Genomic DNA, 25474 nt, shown 5'->3' on the forward strand with positions numbered 1-25474 from the left:
TAGTTCTCAGCACGGTGCTCGCTGGCCTGTGACACTGCTCACTGTCTCCTTCCTTAAGCACCTTGTGGGCTTCATCCTGCTTGTATCCTTCCAGGCCTTTCCTCAAATGTCACCTTCTCAGAGAGGCCTGACCTCCTAGCTGCCCTGCTGAAAAGTATGACCCTGCCCCCAGCACCTCCCCGTGTTATGTTCTGTCCACCAAACCAAAGCAACATCTTTACAAAGTTAATGTGAAAATAAAGAGAATGAAAATCCAAAGGCTAAGTCAACTGAAAAATAATGTAGCTGCAACATTTGTTTAAATATCTTAAATATCACTCCATGATTAGGCTCAAAATTATCAAACAGTAAGGCATATATAATAAATTACACCAAACATTCCTCAGACACTAGTTGCATTGCTCTTTTAACAACAAGAATGCCTGCAACCTGAACTGAATTGAGAATTACAAACCTCGCAGAGGGTGACTCAGGGAACCCATCACAGCCAGCCTGATATCAACACACTGTCCCATGGAAAAACGTGCTCCTCGGCAAAATCCTAAATGCACTACATACACCTCTGCTCAGCCACAAGTGTCTGAAAAATCAACTGCAGTTTCCTTCTAGTTAATCATAGACCAAGAAGGCTACACACTTCCATAAAAGGCTCCGTATTTCTGCCCTTCACCATAGATAATCTCCACGATGCCAAACCCAAACAGACAACTGCCTCTGACCTTGACCTCGTTATTACATTTGGGGAGGAGCTGGAGGGAATGTGACAGAAGAGCGGGCCGTGATCAGCAGCGAGAAGAGCGCATGCAAAGGCCACAGGGTAGGAGGGTGCCTGGGGGGGATGAGGAATGGCAAAGCGCGAGGCTGGCTGCAGGGGAGGGAGGGATGGTGAGGATATAGAGCGTGGGAACTTGAACACCAGTGCTGGCATTCTGGTCTTCACCCTGAGGGCCATGGGGAGTCATTTCCAGGTTCTGAGCAGAGTAATGACGGTATCTGACTCATGAGTTAAAAGATTACTCCAGCTCCCAGGTTTAGAACGGGCTGCAGGCAGGCAGGGCGGCAGATGCAAAGGTCATCCAGGTGAGAGATGCTTTAGACTCACGCAGCAGCAGCATAGGTAGGCGGAGAGCCTGATTCAAGATGTATTTTAAAGGTAAAGTCTCTGGGACTTCCTGAAGGACTGGACACGAGGCGTGAAAAGCACTGAGGAATCAAGGATGACTTGGAGGTTTCCGGCCTGAGCAACCAGAAGGCTCAAGTTGCCATGACGGGAGGCTGAAAGAGCAAGTGGATCTAGGACGTGTCGAGTCTGAGACGTCTGATCGACATGAAAGAGGTGACATTGAGAGGGCAAGTGCAGCCAGCGCTCAAGCCTGGGTGACTCGCTCTCCTTTACCTGACTGACTCGCTCTCGTTTACCTGACTGACTGGCCCTCTGCAGTCTCAGGCTTTGCCTGCCCTCCGCTTTCCGTCCCCTCATCCTCTGTCCCGCACTCCCACTTCCCCCTCAACTAGAGACAGCATAAGATGCCCACTCAGCCTTTCCTGGACGTCAGTGTTGAGGTGCAAACATGACTTGGGCCTTGTTGCCAGGAGGGAGGTTGAGCTTCCAGTGCACAGAATGAAATGACTTTAGTTCTGAATCTAGGAAACAGGCCCTAGCTTGGGATGTTTTTCTGACTTCTCTTTAGATTTAGTTGCTTGGAAATCTTTCTTCTCACATAGGACCAGTGGGGTGAGGGGCACCCAAGCCTGTCTCCTATTAGAGAGACACGGGCACTGCGAGCCGGTGCAGGAGGGGGGGGCTGCGGTTGACTTTTCAGACACTTGTGGCTGCACAGAAGTGCGTGTAGTGCATTTAGGATTTCAGCCCAGGAGGATGTTTTTCCGTGGGACAGTGTGGTGAAGTATATGTATATGCTGTCAACACAGGGGCAAACATCTTCCTTCTTTTTCACTGGTTTGTCCTTCTTCACAACTGGAGCTGGAAAAGGGGGTGCACAGGAGCCTCTCAGTCTGAGTTAAGCATGGAGACCTTAAGCCTGTCCTCAGAACAGGTGGCATGGTCCCTGCAGCTCCTCATGCAAAGGCCACACTGGGGTCTGGGAAATGGTCATTTAGTAACAAGGGGGTGAACGGGCCGGAGCAACCCCCTCCTTGAGTCTTTGTACTCAGGGCAGTGGTGGTGGCGGGAGAACCATGTGGGATCTGGGTTCCAGCTGCTTCTCAGTGACACCCCGCCCTGGAGCTGTGACTAACACATGGCAATAACCATCACTATGACCTTCTTCACAGCTCTCTTCCCTCTGCCAGCCATCCTGCTCACTGCTACCAACGCTGGAAAATACAACTCTGGTATAAGGCAACTCTTGCGTCTCACAAATCCTATCTTCCGATCAAGCTGAAACAAATGTTCTTGCTCCCCACATCCTCACACCCCGCCTTCCCTCCACCAGCATGCTTACAGCAGCACTGCACCCTCCGAAGGCGTGCTGAGGCTTTTCCCACCGCAGCCCCGGATCTCCACAAAGCCAAACTCACGCATCCAGCAGATCCAAATAAATGCCGCATCTGCCCTGACGCCTTCCCAAATTCTATGGGATGTTCTTTGTTCTTTTTTCCTAGTAATTCGTCAACCACCGCCTTGTATTATAGCAATGTGGATATAAATCTTATCCTCTCTTCACTGCAAAGAACATGTCTGGTTTATGTTCCTATTCTTTTGACCCCTTGGACCTGTTCAGAAAGCATTACTTAAATGAAGTAACAAAGGCATGGGCTAACGACAGAGGGTGTCCCTGAGCCATTTGGATTCCACCGCCATAAGGTGTAGTGCAGAAAGTGGGGTTGAGCGGCCAGGTACATTTCCTCTCTGAGCAACAAGGAATCCAGGAGCCTGAGAGTAAAGATGGGGTAGAAATGTCTAGAGGTACAAGTACTTTGCAAGCAAATATTATTACTGACATGAAACATCATTTCTAGAAATAAACACAAAGATAATCTTGTCACAGTCACTTCACTGGTCAAGTAACTTACTCAAAGTAACTTTTTTTAATGTATTAAGTCAATTAAGGAAAACCAGGACCAGCTCAGTGAAGGAGAAATAAAACTGGTTTGAGATCCTGGACAAATCCTAACTTCCCTGACCCCCAGCTCTCCTATGTGTAAAATGAATGCTGTAAAAACTGAGTAAAATGTATATGCAAAGACTCTCTCTAATCCCTGGCACAAACATGAGAACTCAATAGAAGCTATTATAAGCCCAACTATGCAACCAGCAACATTACATACTTTATTTAGAGGCCTGGAAAACTCTGTATAGGAAACTCTACTTCTCTGGGCTTTGATTTCTTCAAAACTGTAACTTCAGTTGAATGACCCACAGACTTTCTCACTGACAACGTTCAATGGTTCTTGGACCTATTCATGCAACTAACATAAGAAGCTTCTGGAAAGTCTAAAAAGGTCTGTCTATCACACTGCCAAGGTGCTGCATGAAGTTCTGAATGGCTCCAGTCGTTCAGAGTGGGGCAGGAAACAGACAGGCCTGATGACAAGGGCCTCTCGTGCTGTTCTGAATGGAGGGGACTCACTGAAAGATTTTCAAGCTGTTGAGTAATAACAGAATTGTATTTCAGACAGACACACTATGCACTGAAAAATGCTGCCTGATGAGAATTCTACCTTTAATTTCCACTGAGCAACACACGGAAGTCATTATTTGACTCTACTATCCCAGAGCACTGGGAAATCCCATGCTTACAGATGGATTTTGAGTCCTTGCTTTTCATGTTTTTCCCTTTCCAAAGTTCACTCCGGGCCCAGCTCTCTGGCTATCCCAGGTACTTCTGTTGACTGCTTTCCAGAGGTGAATTACCATTCCCTCGGAAAACTTTCACAACTGGGCTGATAAAACAAACCCAGACCGTAGCTGGCTTGCCCCAGCAGACTGCTCTGGTTCCATGTCTGCATATTTCTACATCAAAGAGATGAATTCAAAACCTAATCCTCTAAGATTTAAAAATCAGAATTTACAGATTATGCTAGTTTTCATGTTTACCTAAATATATAAGACCTAATTCTATCTAGAAGCACTAATACTTGAATCCTTTCTAAAACAATCTCTTGGCACGTGGCAACGTGTACAGTTTACAGGTGCGCTACCACCAACCAAAGTGAAACAACCTTTTGAACTGCTAAAACGTCTGGAAAGTTAAAAGTAATTCCAAGATACTTTTGGAGAATCTGTTTCCTAAGCTGTCTCTAAGATTCTGCCAACCCTCTGGCAATACCCTGAGAAACCCAAGTTACGTAAGGTGGAGGCGGCAAACTCCAGGCCGGGTCAGCCTGAAAAGGGAAAGACACCTCTTAGATCCAAAGCCTCTCTCTCAGCACCCACAGTTCCCAGACAGGCAGGAGCCTGAGTTCCGGTAAGAATTTTTCCCAAAGTGCAGTTGGTTTCATCACAAACTCCTGACTTGCCTGGCCCTAAGGCAAACCTAAAAATTTCCATCTTAGACCAGGCAACAGACAAGTGCCCAGGGGATTTCTGTGGCCACCAACCTGGTGCACCAAGGCTTAGAAACGACGTCCCACCAGAGTCATCAGCGTAAGTGCAGAGACGTTATTGTTTCATACTCTGCCAAGCTCCACTATGGCTACGGGACAGTCCTCTGTGGCTTCCCAGGATGGTCATTTAAAACAATGACGAACTCAATAAATTTGCTGCCAATATGTTGTTGTACAAATGCCAAACAGTGATGCTCTTGGGAAAGTATCAAACTCATTTTCTCATCAGTTTTTTCATCCCCCGAAAATGTATTTTTACAAATAAGGCACATATTTTATATTTAGAAAATGGCAGAGGAGGAGGGAGTGACAACTAAGGAGGGCAAGAAACATCCGACAGACATCTGCCTACACTACAGCAACCAGAAGCTGGCCCGAGTGAGGTGGGAACGACCAATAGGTGGCGACACCTCCTCAACTAATGAGGTGTCCAGACCTGGAATGGCAGGTCCGCTTTCCTTAGGACAGCCAGAGTGGAGCAGCCATGCCCACTCCGCCTTCCTGCACTGTAGTCAAAGCACACCCCAAAAGCAGCTGGCCATTCTGAGAGATGCAGGGAAAGGAATCCATCTTGGAGCTGGTGTCCATGTCACCTGGGGGTATATGTAAGCTTCCCCTGTCACTTGGTCCTCATACGGCCCATGAGGCAGGGGTCATGACTTCCCAGTCTCCAAATGAGGCTGACAGCTTCAAGAGCATGGGTTTGGGTGGGGCAACCCGCATCTGCATTCCAGCTTCCTCACTTGCTCTAAGTGTGATCTTGGGTAAGGGCCTTCGCCAGTTTAACAAGGCAACAATGAAAAAGGACTGACAGATCTCACAGGGTTGCTATGAAGAGTAAATAAGAAATGCAACTGCTGGGCTGCGGTGGCTCATACCTGTAATCCCAGCACTTTGGGAGGCCGAGGCGGGCGGATCATGAGGTCCAGAGATCGAGACCATCCTGGCCAACACGGTGAAACCCTGTCTCTACTAAAAATACAAAAAGTTGGGTGTGGTGGCATGCACCTGTAATACCAGCTACTCGGGAGGCTGAGGCAGGAGAATAGCTTGAACCCAGGAGGCGGAGACTGCAGTGGGCTGAGATTGCGCCACTGCACTCCAGCCTGGCGACAGAGTGAGACTCTGTCTCAAAAAAAAAAAAAAAAAAAATGAAATGCACCAAACGCAATGCCTACAACACAGTAAGCCTTCAATAGACATCACCTGCTATTAGCGCTGTCACTGGCAACGAATAAGAATAAATTAGTAACAATAATGCTGTCACTGCTGCCCAAGGTTACCAAGCTGCTTAAGAGCAGGACCAAGATTTGACCTTGAGTCTGTGTAATTCCAAAAGGAAGCTCTTAGGCACTCCATGGGCTGGGATGATGGATGGACGAACCAGATTTGACTTTAACAGAATGATTTCCTGTCTCTCAACAGGACTTTAGAACCTTTCTAACATCACAGCTTTACGATCCCAAACAGAAAACATCTTGCAAAGGATGACATTAAAGTGAGATGGGAGGCAGGAAAGACATATTTCATTAAAATATATCAATATAAATGATTTTTATAAGAATGTTAATGGCAGGCCATTCATAATAGTCCCAAACTGGAGGCAACTCAAATGTCCACTAACAGTAGGATGGGTAAGTAAACAGCGGTGTGCTGACATAGTGGAATACTATGCAGCAATGAGAATGAACTGGCAATTCTGCAAGCAAAGCACAGCTGAATCTCACAAATACAACGTTAAGCAAACAAAGCAAGATGCAGAAGAGTATATACTGCATGCGTCCATGTACATAATGTTCAAAATCAGGCAAAACCAACCTTTGATGTTAGGTGTCAGGATAATGCTTATTTCGGGAGTGAATAGACGGCAGTACCAATGGGGCTTCCAGGGTCTGGAAAAGATTGTTTCTGGATAATACAGATTCTGGTGACACAGGTGTGTTTCCTCTAAACATTCACCCTCAATCAGTACACTTTTTTGGTGCATGCCCTCCTCTGCATGTGTAAGAGTACACGTTCAACAGCTATTAAAATTACTATCCACAAGTCACTTGGTTGCTGCTGCATAATGACAATTCTGTCATTTCATCCATAGTCCATGGGAAGTTATACAGCATAATGGAAAAAAGCATCAGGCTTGAAGACCACCCATCTTGAATTAGAATCCCTGGTTAGGTCACTCATCAATTATTGATTTTATAAAATTATTTAACCTGAGTCTTGATTCCTCAACTGGAAATCAGAGCTAGTACACTTGCATATGCAGAGTTGGTCTCAGCATTCTTGAAAACTCATGGAAAACATCTACCATCCACAGTACTTGCCCACGTGGCAGATGCTCAACAAAGTAGGCAAACAGTCCCAACAAACTAATTCATTACTCTAACTCTCCATTACTTAATGTTCCATCAACATGAAAGTGAATGACCGTATACCGCAAGTACACTAGTTTAAACAAAGAATAATGATGAACCCAATCTTGGCCTCTGCTCATTTTTCCAGTGTGGACAGGGAAGGGAGAAAGTGCTGTGGAAGAAAGAAAATGACTGGAGCAGGATCTCAGAGAGGCTTGTGCCAAAGTTGGGTACCCAAGACCCAGCTGGTATCTGTCAGAAGAAAGTGAGGCTGATGGTCAAGCAATGACAGTTTGGGCTGCTTTCCATGCAAACTAGCAAATTACTCCTGCAACTAAATTTCTTCAGCCTTGTACCTCCCCAAAGTCTGCATCTTGGCTAAAAAGAGGCATTTTCTATATTGTCCAAATATATCATGATCAAAGCCAAAGTTAAAAAAAAACAAAGCAGTTCTCACATAATCTAGTTTTGCCAGGAAGTTGGATATTCAAACAAACTTAGAAAAGACTGAAGACAAAATACAGAGAGAAAATGAAAACAAAAACAAAAATACTCTAGGGTGTGAGAACAAGAAGTCTCTAGATAGAAGAAAACTAATTTAAAATAAACAAAGATTCATTCAATTCCTGGCTCAGGGAAGGAGGTAAAAATGGCTTAAGGGGGGAATAAAATCCTTCAAGGGCCCACAGACAACTATAACAGCCCCTTGTCTTGGCAAGAGGCTGATCCTTGGTGACTTTTTTCACCCAGTTGAAAGTCCTAGGACTGCAGATAAGACACAAACCCTGCACCCTCACTTCCTCTACTCCTGTGCAGATTCTAGAATTCCCTGGTAGACTGCAGAACTACCCTCATCCTGTGAGTAGTACCTGGTGGGAGAGAGGAATGTCCCCTAGGTTCAGCCAACAGCAGCACATCTATGGAGAAACGAGAAGGGCGACCAGACGTCTGCCATGTTCACCATGTGGACGTGACACACAGGCAGAGCCTGCTCCACTCTGCAGCTCTGGGTGTCCCAGCCCTAGTCAGTCCCATCTGAAGCCCCAAAGCACAGAATGTTTATCAACCAAAGAGGTGCATTTGAGCTTATTCCTAGGGCAATGGCTGGGCCTGAGAACTATTCCAGAGAAATTTCACCCTGAGAAGGACCTTGGCTAATGTTCCCCAGACCAACTGCTACCTAGGAGCTGGCAGTGTCACTTGGCCTGTCAGGTGTTTTTTCTGGTAAGAAGTGCCTGTGCTTCTGGCCCTCAATGTCTGTCCCCAAGGGCTGTGATCCGTGGTCACTAACAGACAACAAATGTCATCCTTCAAATATTCACAGCAACAGCATGTTTCTATCCGCATGACAGTCCACACCCGGCAGGGTTTTCTCAGGCCATCCAGGGCTCCCTCCTTTGGTGACACTCTCCTGGGCCTCTCCTGGGTCTGGGGCTGGTATTTCCTTGCTGATGCGAAGGCAGCCCCTGGACCACCCTCCCTCTGTCCTCCCCCTGTTCTCCCCCAGCTTTCTGCCCACACTTCCTCTTCCCTCCCTTTAACGCCACCAGCAGTCCAGGCAGAGGGCCACAGCCCTGTCCTCTTCTCTCGATCATGCCTCTGGAAACCCCATACACCTTTACCCCTTCTGCTACAAGAGCTGTTTCTAAAGTGTGTGTGGAGATAGTTCCTGACTTCCCAAGCTCTGGCTCTGAAATTCCAACTTCGTACTGGAATGTTCACCTCAGAATCAACAGGTGTCAAGTTGAGCTCCCCTTTACTCACGATTTATTGAAGGCCTCTGAGGTGCCAGACACTGCCCAGGTGCTGGAAAGGACACTGAAAGGACAGAGCCAACCCCACCCCACAGGGCCTACACTGTAGCAGAAGTCATCCCAGGCGAATTTGAGTTTGAGCTATTGTTTCTCAAAAGCAACAGAGACGACAGCACACACACCATTCTTCCACTGAGAAACAATCCCTCGCAGTCTTCCCTTAACTTCCTTATTTCTCCCAAAGGTTCTATCTCACAGGTTTCAACCCTAAGTACAGAATCGATCATCAGTTCCCTTCCATAAACGCATCTGAAAATCGCCCCCTATCACCAGTCGCTCATCCCTCATCCTGGGAATTGTGCACTTGGCTTCTCCATGGCCTCCATCCCCTCCGGTTGCCTTTCCCTCTAATCCGGCTGCATCCTCAGTCAAATCCAATGAGCTAACTCATTTAATCAGATCAGGGCTACCAAGCCGAGCATCACTGGTCACCTCAGGAGAGGATGCTAAACTGCTTGGCCTTCTGTGGCCCCCTTCTCGATAGTGGAGTCCTCAATTACCTTTACAAATGTGTGGTTCTTAACTCTCTGGCATCAACTCTAGGCAGCCAGTACACACCAAGCCCGTGCACGTTCCCATCTCCACCTCTGCTTCCGATTTCCTCCTGGGCAGAAATCCCTCCTCCCCAGCCAGTAAAACTCCAGGCACCTTGCAAAGACCAGCTCACAGCCTGCCTCCCCGAGTCTTCCCGGGGCCTCTCCTCCGGAGACATGTCCTACTGTTTGAACTGCTGTGGAAGACTCCACTGGACGCCCCTTGCCTCAGGCACTTCCCCGCCTGTGGGCTAATTTCCCACGTTTCCACACTGTCTCCCCTTGAAGGACACAGAAGTCAATCTCTGCAGAAGGGAAAAGACCTCTGAGTGACTTCCATCCTCTCCCCTATGCTCTGGCACAATGGCTTGTACATAAGCCATACAAAGTAGCAGTGGCCTCACAGTGACTAGCAGACACAGAAGAGCTAGGAGAAAGCTGGAGCTGCCGACTCCTTGTGCCTCTGGCTGACCTCCAGAGGCCAGCAAACCTCTCATCTTACCTCCTATTGCCTTCCCCAGCCCTGGGCTGTATGTCACACTGTGTGCACCGTATTAAAACGTACTGAATGGGCCGGGCACAGTGGCTCACGCCTGTAAATCCCATCACTTTTGAGAGGCTGAGGCAGGCAGATCACTTGAGATCAGGAGTTTGAGACCAGCTTGGCCAAGTAGAAACCCCATCTCTACTTAAAAAAATAATAATAATAATACAAAAATGAGCCAGGCATCGTGGTGCATGTGTGTAGTCCCAGCTACTTAGGAGGCTGAGGCACGAGAATCGCTTGAACGCAGGAGGCAGAGGCTGCAGTGAGCCAAGGTCGCGCCACTTCACTCCAGCCTGGGCAATGCAGTGAGACTCCATCTCAAAAAAAAAAAAAAAAAAAAGTATTGAATGAACAGGATAATACGGGCGGTTTAGAGTACCCAAATGAAGGAACTCACCCCACCAAGTCTTCCCTGGCTCCTCCTCAGTGTTTCCCCTTTACACTCCTGCAGGACTCCATTAATACCTCTTGTAGGATACTGAAGTCTGATTCTATTAAAATTAAATTTGAAGTTGTCTTCTTTCTCATGTTAACCCCACAAAGGGAGGGCCTGACTCGCACTCAATTCTTAACCTCAGAAACATCTCAGTCACATAGTGGTCAGCTGAAACTGACCAGATAATGCTCACCTTACGCTTAGAAGGGCAGACATCAGATTTCCAAAAGGAGCCAAAAACTGAGTAGGGGAGGTCAACCCACGCTTTGAACAATTCTGTCTTCATTTGATCTTGAAAGAGCTCAGAAATAGTAAGACATAATCTTCTTAACACATACCAGTACAGAGAACCAAATACCCATTTCTCTAACCAACAGACGTGCTTTTAAGATGGCTCAAAAAAATCCTCACTAAAACTCCGTAACATTAATTGCTGTGTATCAACAGTGAGTCTTTTGCCAAAGAAAGATAACTTAGACTTTTGTCTGGTGAGAAATAGATATATTAGTACACTGGCTTGCATAAATATTCCCATGAAATAATTAGTTCATTAATATGCAGCACATTAATCTGCAAAAACTTCTAAGCAATGGAAATCCTGCCCAATTAATGGATTTCTTTAATAACTGATTGCCTTAAACTCATTGGCCTTAAAATTGATAAATTACACTTATCAAATAACATTTGATAGATGACTATTAAGTGATTTGGAGTTTCTCTCTCCTATGTAAAGTAGCTTGATGAAATCTGAAATTCAAGGACTCTTGATTTTACCAGCAAAGCACGTTCTGTGGTCTAACAGTGTCACCCAGTGGTAAAAGGCACAGTTTGGTGTTCAGGGGAGCTGTTGCTTTTTAAAAGAAATAACCCGTCATACGTGTTTCTTTACTAAAAGGAAAAGAAAAAAAACACTTTTTTGAATTGCAAGAAGAAAACTAGTACGTAAATTCTAAAAAACATGACTGGCACAGAAGTGAGCAGCTCTTCATCCAAGGCCACTCTGAAGCCTTTGGAGACCACTCAGGAAGGAGCATGCAGTCCTGAGCTCGGCCTCCTGAGCTCGGGAGAGAGGCACGGTGGTGTAGGACCCGTGACTCAGGAGCAGTGCAGGAGGAGTTGAAATCAGCCCGTTCTCCAGGCCAAACGAGAGACCACAGGCCACCCTCGCTCTCAGCTGCACTGTGTCCTTCCTGTTTTGCCTGTCTACCATGCAGCCACAATTCTCTAAAGTTCAGCACTTCCAGAAAAAAGAAACAAAAAGCAGCCAATTCTGTTCCAAGGTTCACTATCTGATCCTAAAAACTTTAAAAAAAAAAAAAAAAAACCAAAAACTCTCATATGGTGAAGCTTAACTGAAATAATAAATTATTTAGCTTCCTTATCTGCAAAAAGAGAAGGCTGTGCCAGATGACCCTTGAGATCCCTTATTAGTGAAATGTTCTGATAATAAAGAAGAGTTTGGCTCACCTGCTGGTCTCCACCACACAGGTTTATAACCAAGAGCCCTACAGCTCTTGTCCCACCCTGAGGGCCTGACTGACCTGTGGAGGGCCCCACCTTTCGCCTCCATTCACTCACCCCTGTTCCCAAGAACCACTGACTTCTTTACATGAAGCCTACATTGAGTAAGTTTTTAGGTACAGATGCTGAATTACCCAAGCTGTATCCACCCTCACTCCAGGCACCCCGAGGAGAGACTCAACTGCTTGGCCCAGGGTTAGAGAGGCCCACACGGGAAGGCAGAGTGGAGCAGATGTTATTTAACCAAAAGTCTGTATCCTGGGGCTCCCAGCTACCACAGTCAAGAAACACATTTTTAAAAAATCAAGACCCTTGAACTAGCAGCAGTAGTCACCCATACCGTATACGATAAATAAAAGTAAGCCAATGTTTATTCTTCTTTGCATAAAATCACCTATACCAACACTTATACATTACAGCATCATTCAGTTAATTCAAGTCTGAATCCCAGAAACTCTCCTGAAATCAAGCCACAGTTCAGCCCTATTCTTCCTAGTTTTTCCTGACATACTTTTGCTTACTCTATAAATCCACGGATATTCTTCTTGCCTACTCCCACCAAAGCCCAAATACACGTGAAAAAAGTTAATCATGAAGTTTTTCTTATTCCCTTACATTTAGAAAATCAGCATCTACTCTCATAGACTACTTGTAAGAAGACAAATTTCTGCTACTCTCTGAAGAATTTGTTGGCAATGTGTAGCAAAAGGCCTTACCGTGAAACACCCTTGAACGCAGTAATTCCACTTTTAGGAATTTACCCTAAAGACATCAACAGAGATGTAGACAAGTGTACACAGAATGATATTTATTCCGGCATGGTCTATGATAGCGGAAAAAATGGAAGCCATTTAAATATCTAATAATGGAATACAGTGCAGCTTAAAATCATCCATTATTAGAATAAATAATGAAAGGGAAAATATTCACAAGGCACTAAATAGGAGAAAAACATTAGGCTCCAAACAGTATGCCCTTTACTTTGGAAAACAAATGCCTACGTGTGTGTCTGTGTGTACAAATGCACAGCATGGTGATCCTCAAAGTGTCATCCCAGGGTCCGAGGCATCGGCACCATCATGGAATTAGTTAAATGCAAATATCGGAGATGCAGTGAGTCAGTCTCTGGGGGGTGGGCCCGGCAACCTGTGTTTTATCATGTTTGCTAAGTGTCACATAACCTTTGCAGTAGACATTAAATTTATTCCATCATACAGATAGGGAAATTAAGGCCCAGCGAGACTAGGTGACTTGCCTAAATCTACAAGGCTAATTAAATGGCAGCTAGCAGCATCATGCAGCTAGCTCCAGAGTCCATGCTCTGAGCCACTTTGCTACAGCACCTCTCTATTTTAACTCTCCTATTTGGACGTGTGCTCTTTCTGCTAAATTAATGGCAGGATGCATCCCCCTGTTGTCTGATCACCTTCATAGTGGTTTAGCGCTTCTGTTACAAAGCTATTGATCTGGGGGCTGGGGGTGTCCTGGGCTCTATCACTAACATCCCCATTAATATATCTCTTGATGAATACCTGGTTGACATCTTTGAAGGCTAAAAAAAGATATTTAGATCTAAGTGAACATTAAATACCAGCACACATAAGCAAAAACTTGAATGCCATCAGCAATGACATGCAGCAGATACTGACTAAACACACAAGGCACCTGTTGCCTGCTAGAGGGGAGAGGCCATGTGGCAATCCCATGCACAGCTTCCAAACCACCTGGCCACCATCTTTGAAATTATACAAGTTTTGATTGACTTCTTTTCCTTTTTTGGTTTTTGCATGATTTCAAAATTTGCATGTAACAGAATCCTTATTTATATTATGTTATAGTCACAAAATTAAAATTGGTAAAATAAAGTTATCACACTTAATTCCTAAATTGCAAGTTCCTGAATAAAGAGACCTCCCTTGGAATTTTTCTCCTATGTTATTTTCTGAGGAGAAAACACCTCGGTCATTCATCTCAGGAAACTACAAAGAGGATGGACTGAGAAGATGGTTGATTTCGGCCTAATCATTCCTGAGAGGAAGGAAAATACACAGACCACGAAAAGCTTCCTGCTGGGCTAGCTTTCAAAGCCCTCAAACATTCCTGTCTTCAAGAGCTGACTAATAATTCCGTAATATTTATGACCTGGCCCAACTGGCCAAACAAACTAATACTTTCAAAAGAAGAGACTATCTTCAAACAGACTTAATGACAGAAACTTTAGAAGGAACACAGAGACCAGGTGTTCAACTTCCTCATTATGACAGATGAGGAAACTGAGGCCCAGAGAGATGAAATGACTAAGTTAAGAGAGTGGCAAAGACATTCTGGACCACACAGTGGCAAAGCTCGGACTAGGACCAAGATTGGAGTCTGGTCCACTCTTCACTACCCAACACTGCCTCTCACTTCTGACTGCTTTGCAAATTTTCTAAATTGACTGTCCACATTTTCTACTGATCTGTGGGTGTTTTGGCACCGTGAGTAACACCACCATTAACATTACCTCTGGATCAGTAACTGGATGGCATCTTTGAAGACTAATATGTTTCAACTGTAAGTACACTTTAATAACAGCTCGACAGTTTTATCTGCTTCTATAGCTGATCACGTTTTAAGATAGTACAGTCGTCATGATGATTTTTAAAGCTTCTCAAGCTAGGCGAAAACTACCCATCTGCCTTTTTTAAAATTTGCATTATTACCATTGAGCAGCTACAATGTTTAAAAACCAGTGACTGCTCAGACACGGTTATTTAGACATCCTCTAAGTCCCTACTTCCCACTGCATCTTGCTCCATTAAAACCTATTCCTCAAGCATCAGCATTCAGAATGAAATTAAGTAAGTTGGTGAACAAATTAAATTCAACCCTACCGACCTTCAAAGTAAAGACCAGTCTAATTGACAACCTGACCCCCATATTCCCATCAGAACATAATGAATGCTCAAAAACGGACACAGATGGGCCCACATTACTACCACAAAAATAACCAGATGCCCCCTTTTCTCACCAACATGTATGATTGCAAATTCTTTACTGCATGGCCACTCTAACTCTACTTTAATCTCCTACCTCCTAGATAAAAGTTGTTGGATACCCAATCACTGAATTGTTTCTGCCTCCTGGCCACATCCAACCCAGATCTGGTCCCATTTCCCTAATTCCACCTTCAAATCACCCAGTCCAACAACAACCCCAAGTCTGCCTTTCCAAAATAGTCCCAGGGTTCTTCTGGGTACACTGGCCCCGGCAGAAGCAAGCTAAACGAAGCCAACTTCTGTATAACTACACGTTGTGTTCCTGGTGGGTTTTGGCTGATGAGATTCGACACTGTTGTCTGAAGTCACTAGTAACGTATGGCAGAGTAGAAAGAACCTTAAATAAAAGGTCCACAAACCTAAATCCTGACTTCACTTCTCTGGGTTTGTTTCCTTACTGGTAAAATGACAGCCAGTCATTCTATCATTTTGTAAGTTTTTCATCTCAAATCTCCGTATATTGGCCAAATTGTGGGTCAAACAGGTTTGTTTCTACAGAAGAATATGTTCTAACTTCCAACCACTCACTCACTACAGGTTGAGCATCCCTTATCCGAAACACCAGAAGTGTTTCAGATTTCAAAGCTTTTCCAATTTTAGCATATTTGGAATATTTCTGAGTATCTACACTCTGAAATGCTCCGGTGAGCATTTCCTTTAAGCAGCATGTCAGTGCTCAAAAAATTTTGAATTTTAGAGCATTTCAGATTTCAGATTTGGGATGTTCAGCCTGTATTTCACTTTTGAAATACTGAATTAGTTAAGGGTTTGTCTGGAAAACTTCATTTTTCACTCTTAAAAAGAAAAAAGAGACCTTAATGCCAGAAACAACGGTAACAATGATGTGTTTTTTCTGTAGGCTTAAAATGTTCCATAATTAAAAGAATTTAAGTTGGCTCTTATTTGATTTCTGCTTCCGCAATGAAAACTGAGCGTGAGGACAGGGACACATCTCTGTCTGGGTCTTTGGAGGATTGTCTGTCTCTAACCAAACCCTAGAGAACAGCTATTTCCATGGCCCCGGCCCTTTTAATTAAAGTCTGTTTTCCCACTTCCCTCTCTTCAGACCACCTGGTGGGCTTTCTGTGAACAACCAATACGCAGGCTTCGCAGGGAGGACACCAAAAACAAGAAAGGAGTAAAGCAACAGCTGTCAGCAAGACCAGGACCCACAGCGCTCGCTGGTTGAGTTAACCTGGTTGGCTGAACCAGTTACTATGTCTCCTACGGGGGAGCACAGGGTGGGCCTGAAGATCGAGAGGGGAGCAAGACGTGGTCCAGGAGCTCCCTGCCTGGAGGAGAAGAGAGCAGACGCGACAGACGCACCCGAGGGTCAACAACTGGGAACACGGACACCCTGGGGGTCCAGGGGGAGGCACAGGGAGGCCTCAGGGACCAGATGCTCTTCCGACTGCACCTCCTGCCAGCTCCAGGGGAGGTACTTGTGCCCTTGTACACAGGTCTGTGAGGGTGCGTGGGGCGTAGGTAACAGCACCTGGCTGCAAGTAGCTGGAAGCGCAGGGCTCCTCTGCAGTTCACACGAGAATGCTGGAGTTGGCCCAGGGCTGCTTCATCGCTTGGAGGTGGCAGGAGGAACCTGGGCTCTTCTCCTAGCCCTGCCTCAGCTGCCCCAGATACACATGGGAAGAAGGGAAGGCAGAGACAGCCCCTGAGGAGGGCTCTCTCCAGCTGCGAAGGCAGGCACTCCCAGAAGCCCCCGGGGGCCTTCCTCCATCGCCTCATTGGCCAGAACAGTGTCACATGACCACTCTAGCCGCAAAACGTGCCAGAAAAATGCAAATTGGCATCCAGCAGGGAAGAGGGGATGGCAACGGCTGTCAGGTGGACAATCAACCCTCCTCTACAAGTACACATGCACACGCACACACACGCACACACACACCGACTGAATGCTGAGTCCCCCCAAAATTCCTATGTTGAAGCCCTAACCCCCAAAGTGACAGTATTTGGAGGTGGGACCTTTGAAAGGTAATTAGGTTTAGATGAGGTCATGAGGCTGCAGCCCACATGATGGGATCAGTGTCCTTATAAGAAGAGGAAAAGAGACCAGAGCTCCTTCTTTCTCAATCTCTCTCCCTGTACTCTCCAGCCTCAATGCCATGTGAGGACACAATGAGAAGACGGCTGTCTGCAAGCCAGGAACCCAATCTGCTGGCACCTTGATCTAGGACTTCTAGCCTCCACAAGTGTGAGGAAACCAACATCTATTGTTTAAGCCACCCAGTCTGTGGCATCTGTTATGGCAGCCTAAAGAGACTAAGACACATACAAGAGTCAACTGCCTTCAAAGGCAGGCCATCCTCCTGACAAGGGGCTTGCGAGGCCCCTCAGTTAACTACTCTGGATCCCAGCTCCAAGCTGAAAGGGAAACAAGAGCAATCGGAGTTTCTTAGAAGTGCTGAGTACTCGCAGCATCTATAATAAAAGCTGCAATAAGCAATAAAGATGAGAGAAGTTTAGGCCTTTTGGCCTCAGCTTTTCCATTTATGTGAAGCCTCCCTTTTAAACTAAGGGGGCTTTGGCAAAAGTTTAAATGTAAACACATTTGTAGTGAGTGTGGGTACTGGAATAAGGGAGTAAACTACACTGCCTCTGAACTTTCCCTGATTCAACTCTGCACATTAATTCAACTCCCTCTGGAGGCTTGTGGTTCCAGGACGCCAAGCCTTGCCATTTTCCCACAGGCTGCCCTGTAGAGTCACGAGTAAACAAAAGCAGGGCAACCCCAGCTCCATGAGACCGTTCATTCACCACCGACAGTGATCTCAGTCACCCCATCACAGCACACCCAAACCCAGAAACTCGAAGTGATCTCCCCACAGGACTCAGCTGAAGCCTTTCACTATCTGTATGGACAGTAACAGACACAGGAAAACTTAAAAGCTGAATGGGAAAATGACCGCATCCTGCAAGTGAGCATCCTACTTGGCAAACAAGGAACACAGAATGATGAAAGCCTAAAAACAAAGAGCTCACTGGTAAATACCCAGACATCGGGTGCCACATGTCTATAGAGCATAACAACCGTTTTTCTTACGGGAATGGAAAGGAGGCTGTTTTAGAAAATATTCAACATTTCAAAAATTCATCTAATTCTGGAGTTAAAAGAGGCCTTCGAGAAATACCACTTCATTTTAGTGATGAGGAACAGAGACATCAGTCATAATCCAGATCCTATAGAAGTGAAGTGATCCGATTTATCTTGACTCCAACAGGATGCTTTTAAGGATCATTTAGGACTACTGCAGTAATCTCATGTCTACTTTGTAAGCGTCCATCCTCAAGTCAATTCTCTGTCTGTCTCTCTCAAAACAAAGCCTTAATAGTCACTCCTTCCCCACTACACAAGTCTGTGAGAACAACCACCACCTACCACTGAGTCTGCAGCTCTAGTCCTCGGCTGTCAGGTATGAGGACTTTTGCCCCAAGAACCAATACATATCCTCCATCAAGTTACTCACTCTGGCAATTCATTGCATTGCAATCAAGTCTGTTACTACCTAATAACTCTATGGTCAAGTGATGTTTGCCCAAAGTCTCAACACACCATCGAGGGATTTAAATCCTACAGCAGCAGTATGACTCAGGGAAAGAACAGAAAAAGGTGGCGTGGCACCCCTTAAGTAAATGCTCCACCTGATACGAAGTCCACATGAAATGGAGAAATCGGCTTCTTTCCCTGAGTTACCCAAGTTGTCATGCTTTCATTTCTTTTGTTGTAACAGGATTCATTACCCAAGAACCCAGCATCCTATCAGCTTTGACTTCACTCACAGCTCTTATCACAAAGGTCAGAACTTTTTTTAACAGTACCTTTTTCAAGTTCACATAAATAGGAGCTACTGGTTACTTTAACTAAATGAAAAGGACAAGGACAAAGGACACGTTAACATACTCATAATGAAAACTTGTCTTTTACTGACAGCTGGTTATAGAGGAAATCACTCATCACTTCGAGAGGAACAATTGTAAAATAATTATGTAACAAGAAAATACAGATCATCATAGCTAACTACTTCCTTTATGCCTTAAAAAAATTAATCTGAACAGCTTAATTACAGTAGGATAGTTTTACCTCCTTAAATGGATTAAGTACTTAAAAATGTAGCACAAAGGCCATGAAAAATGAGACAATTCTTTTAAAAGTTTTCCGAGGCAACTCAGAGTTGAAAGAACAAAATCTAAAAGTCATTCTCTACATTTTGGTTTATAATTTTGTTTTGTTTTGTTTTGTTTTTTGAGATGAAGTTCGGCTCACTGCAATCTCTGCCTCCCAGTTTTAAGCGATTCTCCTGCCTCAGCCTCCTGAGTAGCTGGGACTACAGGCGCCCACCATGCCCGCCTAATTTTTGTATTTTCAGTAGAGACGGGGTTTCACCATGTTGGCCAGGCTGGTCTTAAACTCCTGACCTCAGGTGATCTGCCCGCCTTGGTCTCCCAAAGTGCTGGGATTACAGGTGTGCGCCACCTCACCCGGCCGATAATCTTACAAATGTCAAACTGAGTAAGATTCCAATTATTTGTGAGTATACTTTATTCAAGATTTTAAAATTCAGTTTATAGTAGAAAGTACATAAACACAGTGGTACATGGGACATGTTAATTAGGAAGGACACTATTTTCCTTTTTTTTTTTTTAAGGACACTATTTTCCTAATTTCATCTATGAATCTTTAGAATTGAAGACATAAACCTTATTTTCCACTTACAAAATGTATTAGCTCTGGAAAAAAAAATATCTGTATTACCATTACTATAAATCATTATACCTGATAACAACATATTATCACCAATGTTAAGGAATATCTTTTTCTCCTTCTATAGTTTAATCCACTGAAATGCCAGTCTCAATAGTCCCTATTTGTACCTTTCTGGCTTTATCAAATTCTCCCCAGTTCTCCCCCAAAAAGGCTTCAGAACCTTCTTGGTGGCCTGTGACACTAGCTTTTCATATTTCAACCCTACAGCGGTTGGACTGTGCTTCCTGTCTACTTTTGCCACACATTTAGCCTCTCGGAGACCTGCCTTCTGTGACATATGGTGTAGTTCTATTGTAAAGGATTGTGAACTATTTTATTTAGTGTAGAGAAAAGAAAAATGACAGCCTTAGAGAAACAAAACATTTTTAATTTGAAAAGGACGGTCTGTGTGATCACATCTACTCTGTGTAATTGCCTGTGATAACCGGCATGGCTATGTGTGACCCTCCCACCTAGAAATGATGCTTGGGAAGATCTTGGTGGGAACCACAGAAGGAAGGAGGATGTTGCAAAACATTGCCACTGTGATGACCAAAGTCCTGAACCCTAAAATGGGTCACGGTGAATCCACTCAATGGTGATGGAAATACAGCTAAGAAAGACTCAGTTATAAGCACTTTCCTTCTCTGCACAATTAGACTTGCTCTAAAGAACTCAGATAAACTTTCTAAAATATCTCAGATCGGAGGCTTTCAAACGCACTTTATCTATATACAGTGATCCACTACCCACACACACCCAACAATGAAAAAAAAAAATGAAGTCAACGTTTCCAGGAGAAATACATAGCCTTTACAACATGCTGTATACTGTGATAAGTTCATTATTTTGGCCAGGCGTGGTAGCTCACGCCTGTAATCCCAGCACTTTGGGAGGCCAAGGTGGGTGGATCACTTGAGGCCAGGAGTTCGAGACCAGCATGGGCAACATAGCCAAACTCCATTTCTACTAAAAATACAAAAATTAGCCAGGCACACACTCGTAATCCCAGCTACTTGGGAGGCTGAGGCCCGAGAAAAGCTTGAACCCGGGAGATGGAAGGGTTGCAGTGAGCCAAAATCTCACCACTGTACTGGGTGACAGAGTAAGACTCCATTAAAAAAAAAAGTCATTATTTCACTTCGTTGTAATGCTTGTTGTGACCCACTAAACTAATTTTATGACCCACTAACAGACTGCCTAGCAGCTTGGAAAATCCTGCCCTAATTCACTTACTTAAACTTGCCACAGTAATTTGGCAGCTCTCTTGAGACTAGCGAAAGCACACAAAAACGTCCAACAGCAATGTACATTGGATGAGCTTGCTCTATACCACCTGTCATGATCTCTTCCAAATGGGAAACATTTAAACAGTTTTATTTGGGTTAATATTACTGATAGTAAGACATCATCTTCTCTTCCACCTAATCTTTAAACTACCTTCTCCAATTGTTAAAAAATAATCTCAACTCTTTTTACCTGTGTGTGAATGAGGGAGAGAATACAAATTAAAGATGACTTCAATAATTATATCTGTTCACAGGTAAGTTTTTCCCCTACATCATGATGAAAGCTGAGGAATAAAGATGACCGAGACAGTAAATTTCCCCACACTTACTAAAATACTTTGTAAAGCAGTTCCAACAGTTTCTCTATCCACAAAATTAGTTTCAACTGCATTCTCCTTTAAAAAAAAAACATAGTGAAAGTCAGTTAACAAGTTTCTTAATGCCAAAGCAATCATTCTATCTGCATAATTTTCTAAGAAGCTGAACAAAATTCCACACCCTTAGCTCAAATTAACAATGGGTAAGAAGGAAGTTCTCTGGTCCCTGGTACCAGGAACCAGTCAAGGGCCATTTAACCCCACCACACAGGAAACTGGGCAAAAAGAGTAGGGGAGACACTAAGAACTGAGGCACTTTTCATACTGACCAAAACAGATGAGGCAACAGTAATAGTATGACTCGCAGAAGGAGCCCAAGCTTTAGAGTCTGAGAAACTCAGCCCAGCTCTGCCACATATCAGCTGGCCTTAGTTCAGCAGCAAAAACAACAAAAATAATTACTTAACTAATATTAGCTTTGAGCTGGGCAGTCCTAACTGCCATTATCTCAGTGAATTTTTACAACACTCTGAGGTAGGTTCTGAGGGCCAGAGAGGCTAAGAAACTTGCCCAAATTCATAAAATTCATAACAATTAATAATGGGAGGGCCAGGCTTCAAACAGGCTGACTCGTTTTAAAGCGGTTCAGGGGGCTCAGGTAGCTTTCTGAGCCCGTTTTTCCTTGTCTTCACCTCCCAGGCTTGCTGCAAGGTTTGCCGCCTCTGGCCCATCCTAAGAGGCTCACTGCCACACATATGTCATATATAATTAATGTATAGTAGATATGGACTCACCTGATCACAGGCATCTCAGATAAGCTGGCCTCGCCTGTTCAGAGAGTTAGAAATGGGCTTTTTCTTTATCTCCTTTTCCTCTACCCTCCCACTGCCTTACTCCACAAACACACCTCCCCCACGAATACTTCCCACCTACCTTATGGCACTGCAGTTCACAGCACTGCAGGCATGAGAAACATGACACCCATCATGAGTAGGTTTACTAAAGGAAGGGAGGTGAGTGCTAGCATTGCTCAGACAGGGCAAAGGTGCCAGGTAATTCAAAGCCAAGACAATGACAGTCAGAGAGTCATAAGGGCCGGAACTCAGACTGGGCAGGAGGAATGAGCTGGGAGAACCATTAGATTAAACTTATTTACCCAACAAGGTCTTTGCCACCCAACAGAAGGGAGGCAGGAGAGGGATGAAGGCTGGTACTGCTGGTGTGAAATGGACTGGACCAGTTGAGACTTGGGGATCTGGTACAAATGAGAGGGGCAGGGTCTCAAACATGCCAGGAGTTCTGCTTAAGGCAATAAATAATCTCACAATGGAGTGTAGCGTTGCATAAACATTGGTTTTGGAAACAGGAAGTACCAGCACCAAGCAGCTAATAAGTTTCAACAGAACATTTCAAAACAGGGTTACACTGTCCCTTTCTTTCCTGTGTAAGGTAGATGACAAATGCTATCCCCTCCAATCCTCTACCAAAAAAGTGGGTGAGCAGAAGCAGCGATGGGTGGTCAATGAAGTTCACAGAAGTATATCAACCAAAAGCTCATTTAATCAAGTGGATGAAAAATATGTCAATAATACACCATCATCTGATGACTGATTCAGGCATTTTTTAAAGCAAATATAGAACAATTGTGAGTATGCAAGCTCCTATGGTCTAACAAGTTACCTGTCAATGTCAGACCGAAATTATTAGTTGTCATAGCAGCAGTACACAACACTGCCTGCTCAGATTAGTCATAAGCAGTTGAGCTCTTTGTTTTACATTATAAATATACAACTAATTATTATAAAAACTATCTTCCAAGTATTAAGAAATCACTACTTTCTCAAACCAGAGGGATTTATAACCAAAGTCATAATCTTGACTTGGAGAAAAGCACCCATAAAGCCTAAATGACATAAATTGAATTTATAAATGTTCAGGAAACAGGACATTGTTATTATAAAGTTGTTTAATAATTTGAAGTCATACGATGTTTTTTTACCTCAAGGAAAAACATTGATTATAAAACTGACTACTGGATTAAATAATATTATCTAACAAAAGCAGACTTACAAAGACATCTATTATTTTAATTAAGTAGTGATGACATTATGAACTTGGAATCATACTCCCACTGACATAATTTAATGCCTGATTATAAAACAAACTATTCTAAACATTTTACTTCTGTCTTTAATCTAGTTTTATTTTGCTCACTCTCATTTTTTTAAATAAGTTGTTCCCACGCCATTAGCAAGAAATAAATTTTGTTTTCTCTTAAAATGTTCACTTCTGAGATAAAGATTTGATTCAGTGACTTGGAAAAATTGGGCATTATTTGTTTCCTCACTGCATCTGCTGCAGAACCATTTTCTCCACAATTAAACATCATGGCTTTATCAAAGAACACAGGTCTAAACGTCAGAAACGCCAGGCCCAGTCCTTGCTCTGCCACCCAGGAGGCTCTGTGCCTTCAGAAGGCAAGTTTACCCCTCAGCATCAAAGTATTCTCACCTGAGCCCTGGCCTAGGCAATCAGAGGTCCTCACTAATCAGGACAGGCCAGTGCTAAACTTGCAGACATCTTTAACACACACACACACACACACACACACACACACTGGGCAGTGCAATCAGGCCACACGTGACAGGCCTTTCAAATCCACACACCCCACCCCCAAAAGGGGAAACAGGAGAAATCTGATTTTACCTGGCTGCAAGTGCAATGCAGAATAACAACGTGAGCCCTAGGACACCTCTGATCCATAGGAATCCACATTAAAGCTGCACTGCTGCCTGGGGCCCTCAGGACTGGCAGGTGACGAAGCAGAGAGAGAAGACAGACCAAGCACATTCCCTTCTCAATACTCGATATACAAAAACAGCACTATTTGACTAACAATGACTAGCTTAAAGTGACTTTCCAGAGCCCTCGTCCTTCCTGTCATCAGAACCGACTGACTGGAAGGCCAGTAATTTGATATCGGAAATTTACAATTGATAAAGTCATCAATGGTGACTCCTCCCAAATGCACAGAAGATCTAGAAATGCTGACCTCAGAGTTTCTGGACTGTTCAGGGCTTGACCAGGATTCTCTGGCTGAAAAAGGAAATACACCAGTCAGCACTCAGCATGCCAGAGAGCAGCCCAGGCCACAATATTCATATTTGTCAAGCCCCGACCTAACGAGAGCTCAGCTCTGGACAAAACAAAGCCGTGCGCAACGTTTAGACTTGACTGACACCTACTGTGTGCTCCGTGCTACTGCCCCTCACTTGAGATCTCCCTGGTCCATCTAGGCCACAAGCCACACCTGGCTTCACAAGGCATCCTGCCATGGAACAGCAGGCAAAGATTTAGAAGGCCACCTCAGCAAGTGCCACTTCTCAAAGATACCCAGATAGTTTTGTGGCTAAAACAAATATAGCACCCAGGTTTTCGTTATTGAATAGAAAAAGTTCAAAGCAGGAAACGTGCACTAAGAATGGACTTTCCCCCCATGGGATTGTCAGGGCCTCTCAATAGCTTCTCCAATGCCCTGGCAGCGGCCCTCACTCCCCACCTGATCTGACCTGGGCCTGCTTCTCATGCCTCATGCCAGTCTCTCCGCCACCTTGCTCCCTGCGCCTTAGCCACACAGGCCTGCCTTCATTCCTGGAACACACCAAACTCTTTCTGGGCTGCATGTCTTGGTGCACATGATGTCCCCACCTGGAGCGCATGACCCTCCCAAGCCAGCCCCCTTCCCACACTTCTCCTGACCCCTGGCTCTTCCTCACCTTCTCAGTCTGTATTTCAACATCACCTTCTCGGATCAACAATCCAACACGGGTCCCTCCGTGGTCAGTCTCTGTCCTAAGCTTGTTTCCCAACTCTCACCATCTGTAATTGTTTAATTTATTGCCAGCCCCATGTGTGTTTTTTATCTTCTCCCCTCTAGATATTTAGCTACCTAGGGGCCAGGGCCATTTCTGGTTTGTACCTCGCTGGATCTTCAAGGCTAGGAATTCTAAATGTTCAATTATCATCTGTTAAAGTGATGAAATACCTCAATAAATTGTGCATGGAGAAAAGATGCAGTCTATAAACATTTTTATTTGTACTAAACTGGTCACAGTGCGAAAACAGCTGTTCACTGGTATTGGGCATAATTATTAATTTCTAGCCTCTATTTCTCCCTACTAAGTACCCAACCAGGTTGGGTCTGTGCTCTACTGTAATGTCTTGATTAAAATGGGATTCTTTGTCATTTAACTGTTTAAAACTGGTAATAGAAATTATATCAATGATGATGGTTTGG

At 44.4% G+C, this 25474-nt stretch overlaps 1 protein-coding gene and 1 long non-coding RNA gene across 31 annotated transcripts in view, besides 3 other annotated features; one reads left to right on the forward strand and one right to left on the reverse strand.

Moving 5' to 3' along the window:
* The window catches only part of FAM107B (family with sequence similarity 107 member B), a 256341-nt gene that overhangs the window by 13576 nt on the left and 217291 nt on the right, over positions 1-25474 (reverse strand). For 8 of the 30 annotated variants that reach the window (NM_001282695.2, NM_001282696.2, XM_047425819.1 and 5 more), the window contains one exon: positions 21190-21255. The exons of 7 other annotated variants lie outside the window; for them this stretch is intronic. Coding sequence is in view for 1 of the 23 variants with exons in the window: in NM_001320741.2 (NP_001307670.1) it covers positions 455-515 (61 nt within the window). In the remaining 22 variants the exon portion in view is untranslated. Of the gene's footprint in view, positions 1-454; positions 583-6387; positions 6462-16307; positions 16506-21189; positions 21256-21971; positions 22027-23883; positions 24049-24229; positions 24274-25474 lie in introns of those variants that run through there. 15 more of the 30 variants (XM_047425816.1, XM_047425818.1, XM_047425817.1 and 12 more) reach the window with 11 other exon arrangements.
* On the forward strand, positions 744-5715 carry LOC124902381 (uncharacterized). The gene is made up of 3 exons (XR_007062063.1): positions 744-817; positions 1154-1336; positions 2296-5715. It is a non-coding gene; the product is annotated as an uncharacterized LOC124902381 (long non-coding RNA).
* Positions 5062-5131: an enhancer, noted in NCBI's record as "active region_3072". NCBI's record gives its function as "activates an Ori minimal core promoter by ATAC-STARR-seq in GM12878 lymphoblastoid cells {active_cell/tissue: GM12878}" and the evidence as "EXISTENCE:reporter gene assay evidence [ECO:0000049][PMID:35858748]".
* Positions 23259-23978: an enhancer, noted in NCBI's record as "H3K27ac-H3K4me1 hESC enhancer chr10:14597390-14598109 (GRCh37/hg19 assembly coordinates)". NCBI's record gives its function as "activates a minimal SCP1, AML or CMV promoter by ChIP-STARR-seq in naive H9 embryonic stem cells {active_cell/tissue: H9 hESC(naive)}" and the evidence as "EXISTENCE:reporter gene assay evidence [ECO:0000049][PMID:30033119]".
* Positions 24213-24272: an enhancer, noted in NCBI's record as "active region_3073". NCBI's record gives its function as "activates an Ori minimal core promoter by ATAC-STARR-seq in GM12878 lymphoblastoid cells {active_cell/tissue: GM12878}" and the evidence as "EXISTENCE:reporter gene assay evidence [ECO:0000049][PMID:35858748]".

This window comes from Homo sapiens, chromosome 10 (assembly GCF_000001405.40).
Source record: "Homo sapiens chromosome 10, GRCh38.p14 Primary Assembly".
Taxonomy (NCBI): domain Eukaryota; kingdom Metazoa; phylum Chordata; class Mammalia; order Primates; family Hominidae; genus Homo; species Homo sapiens.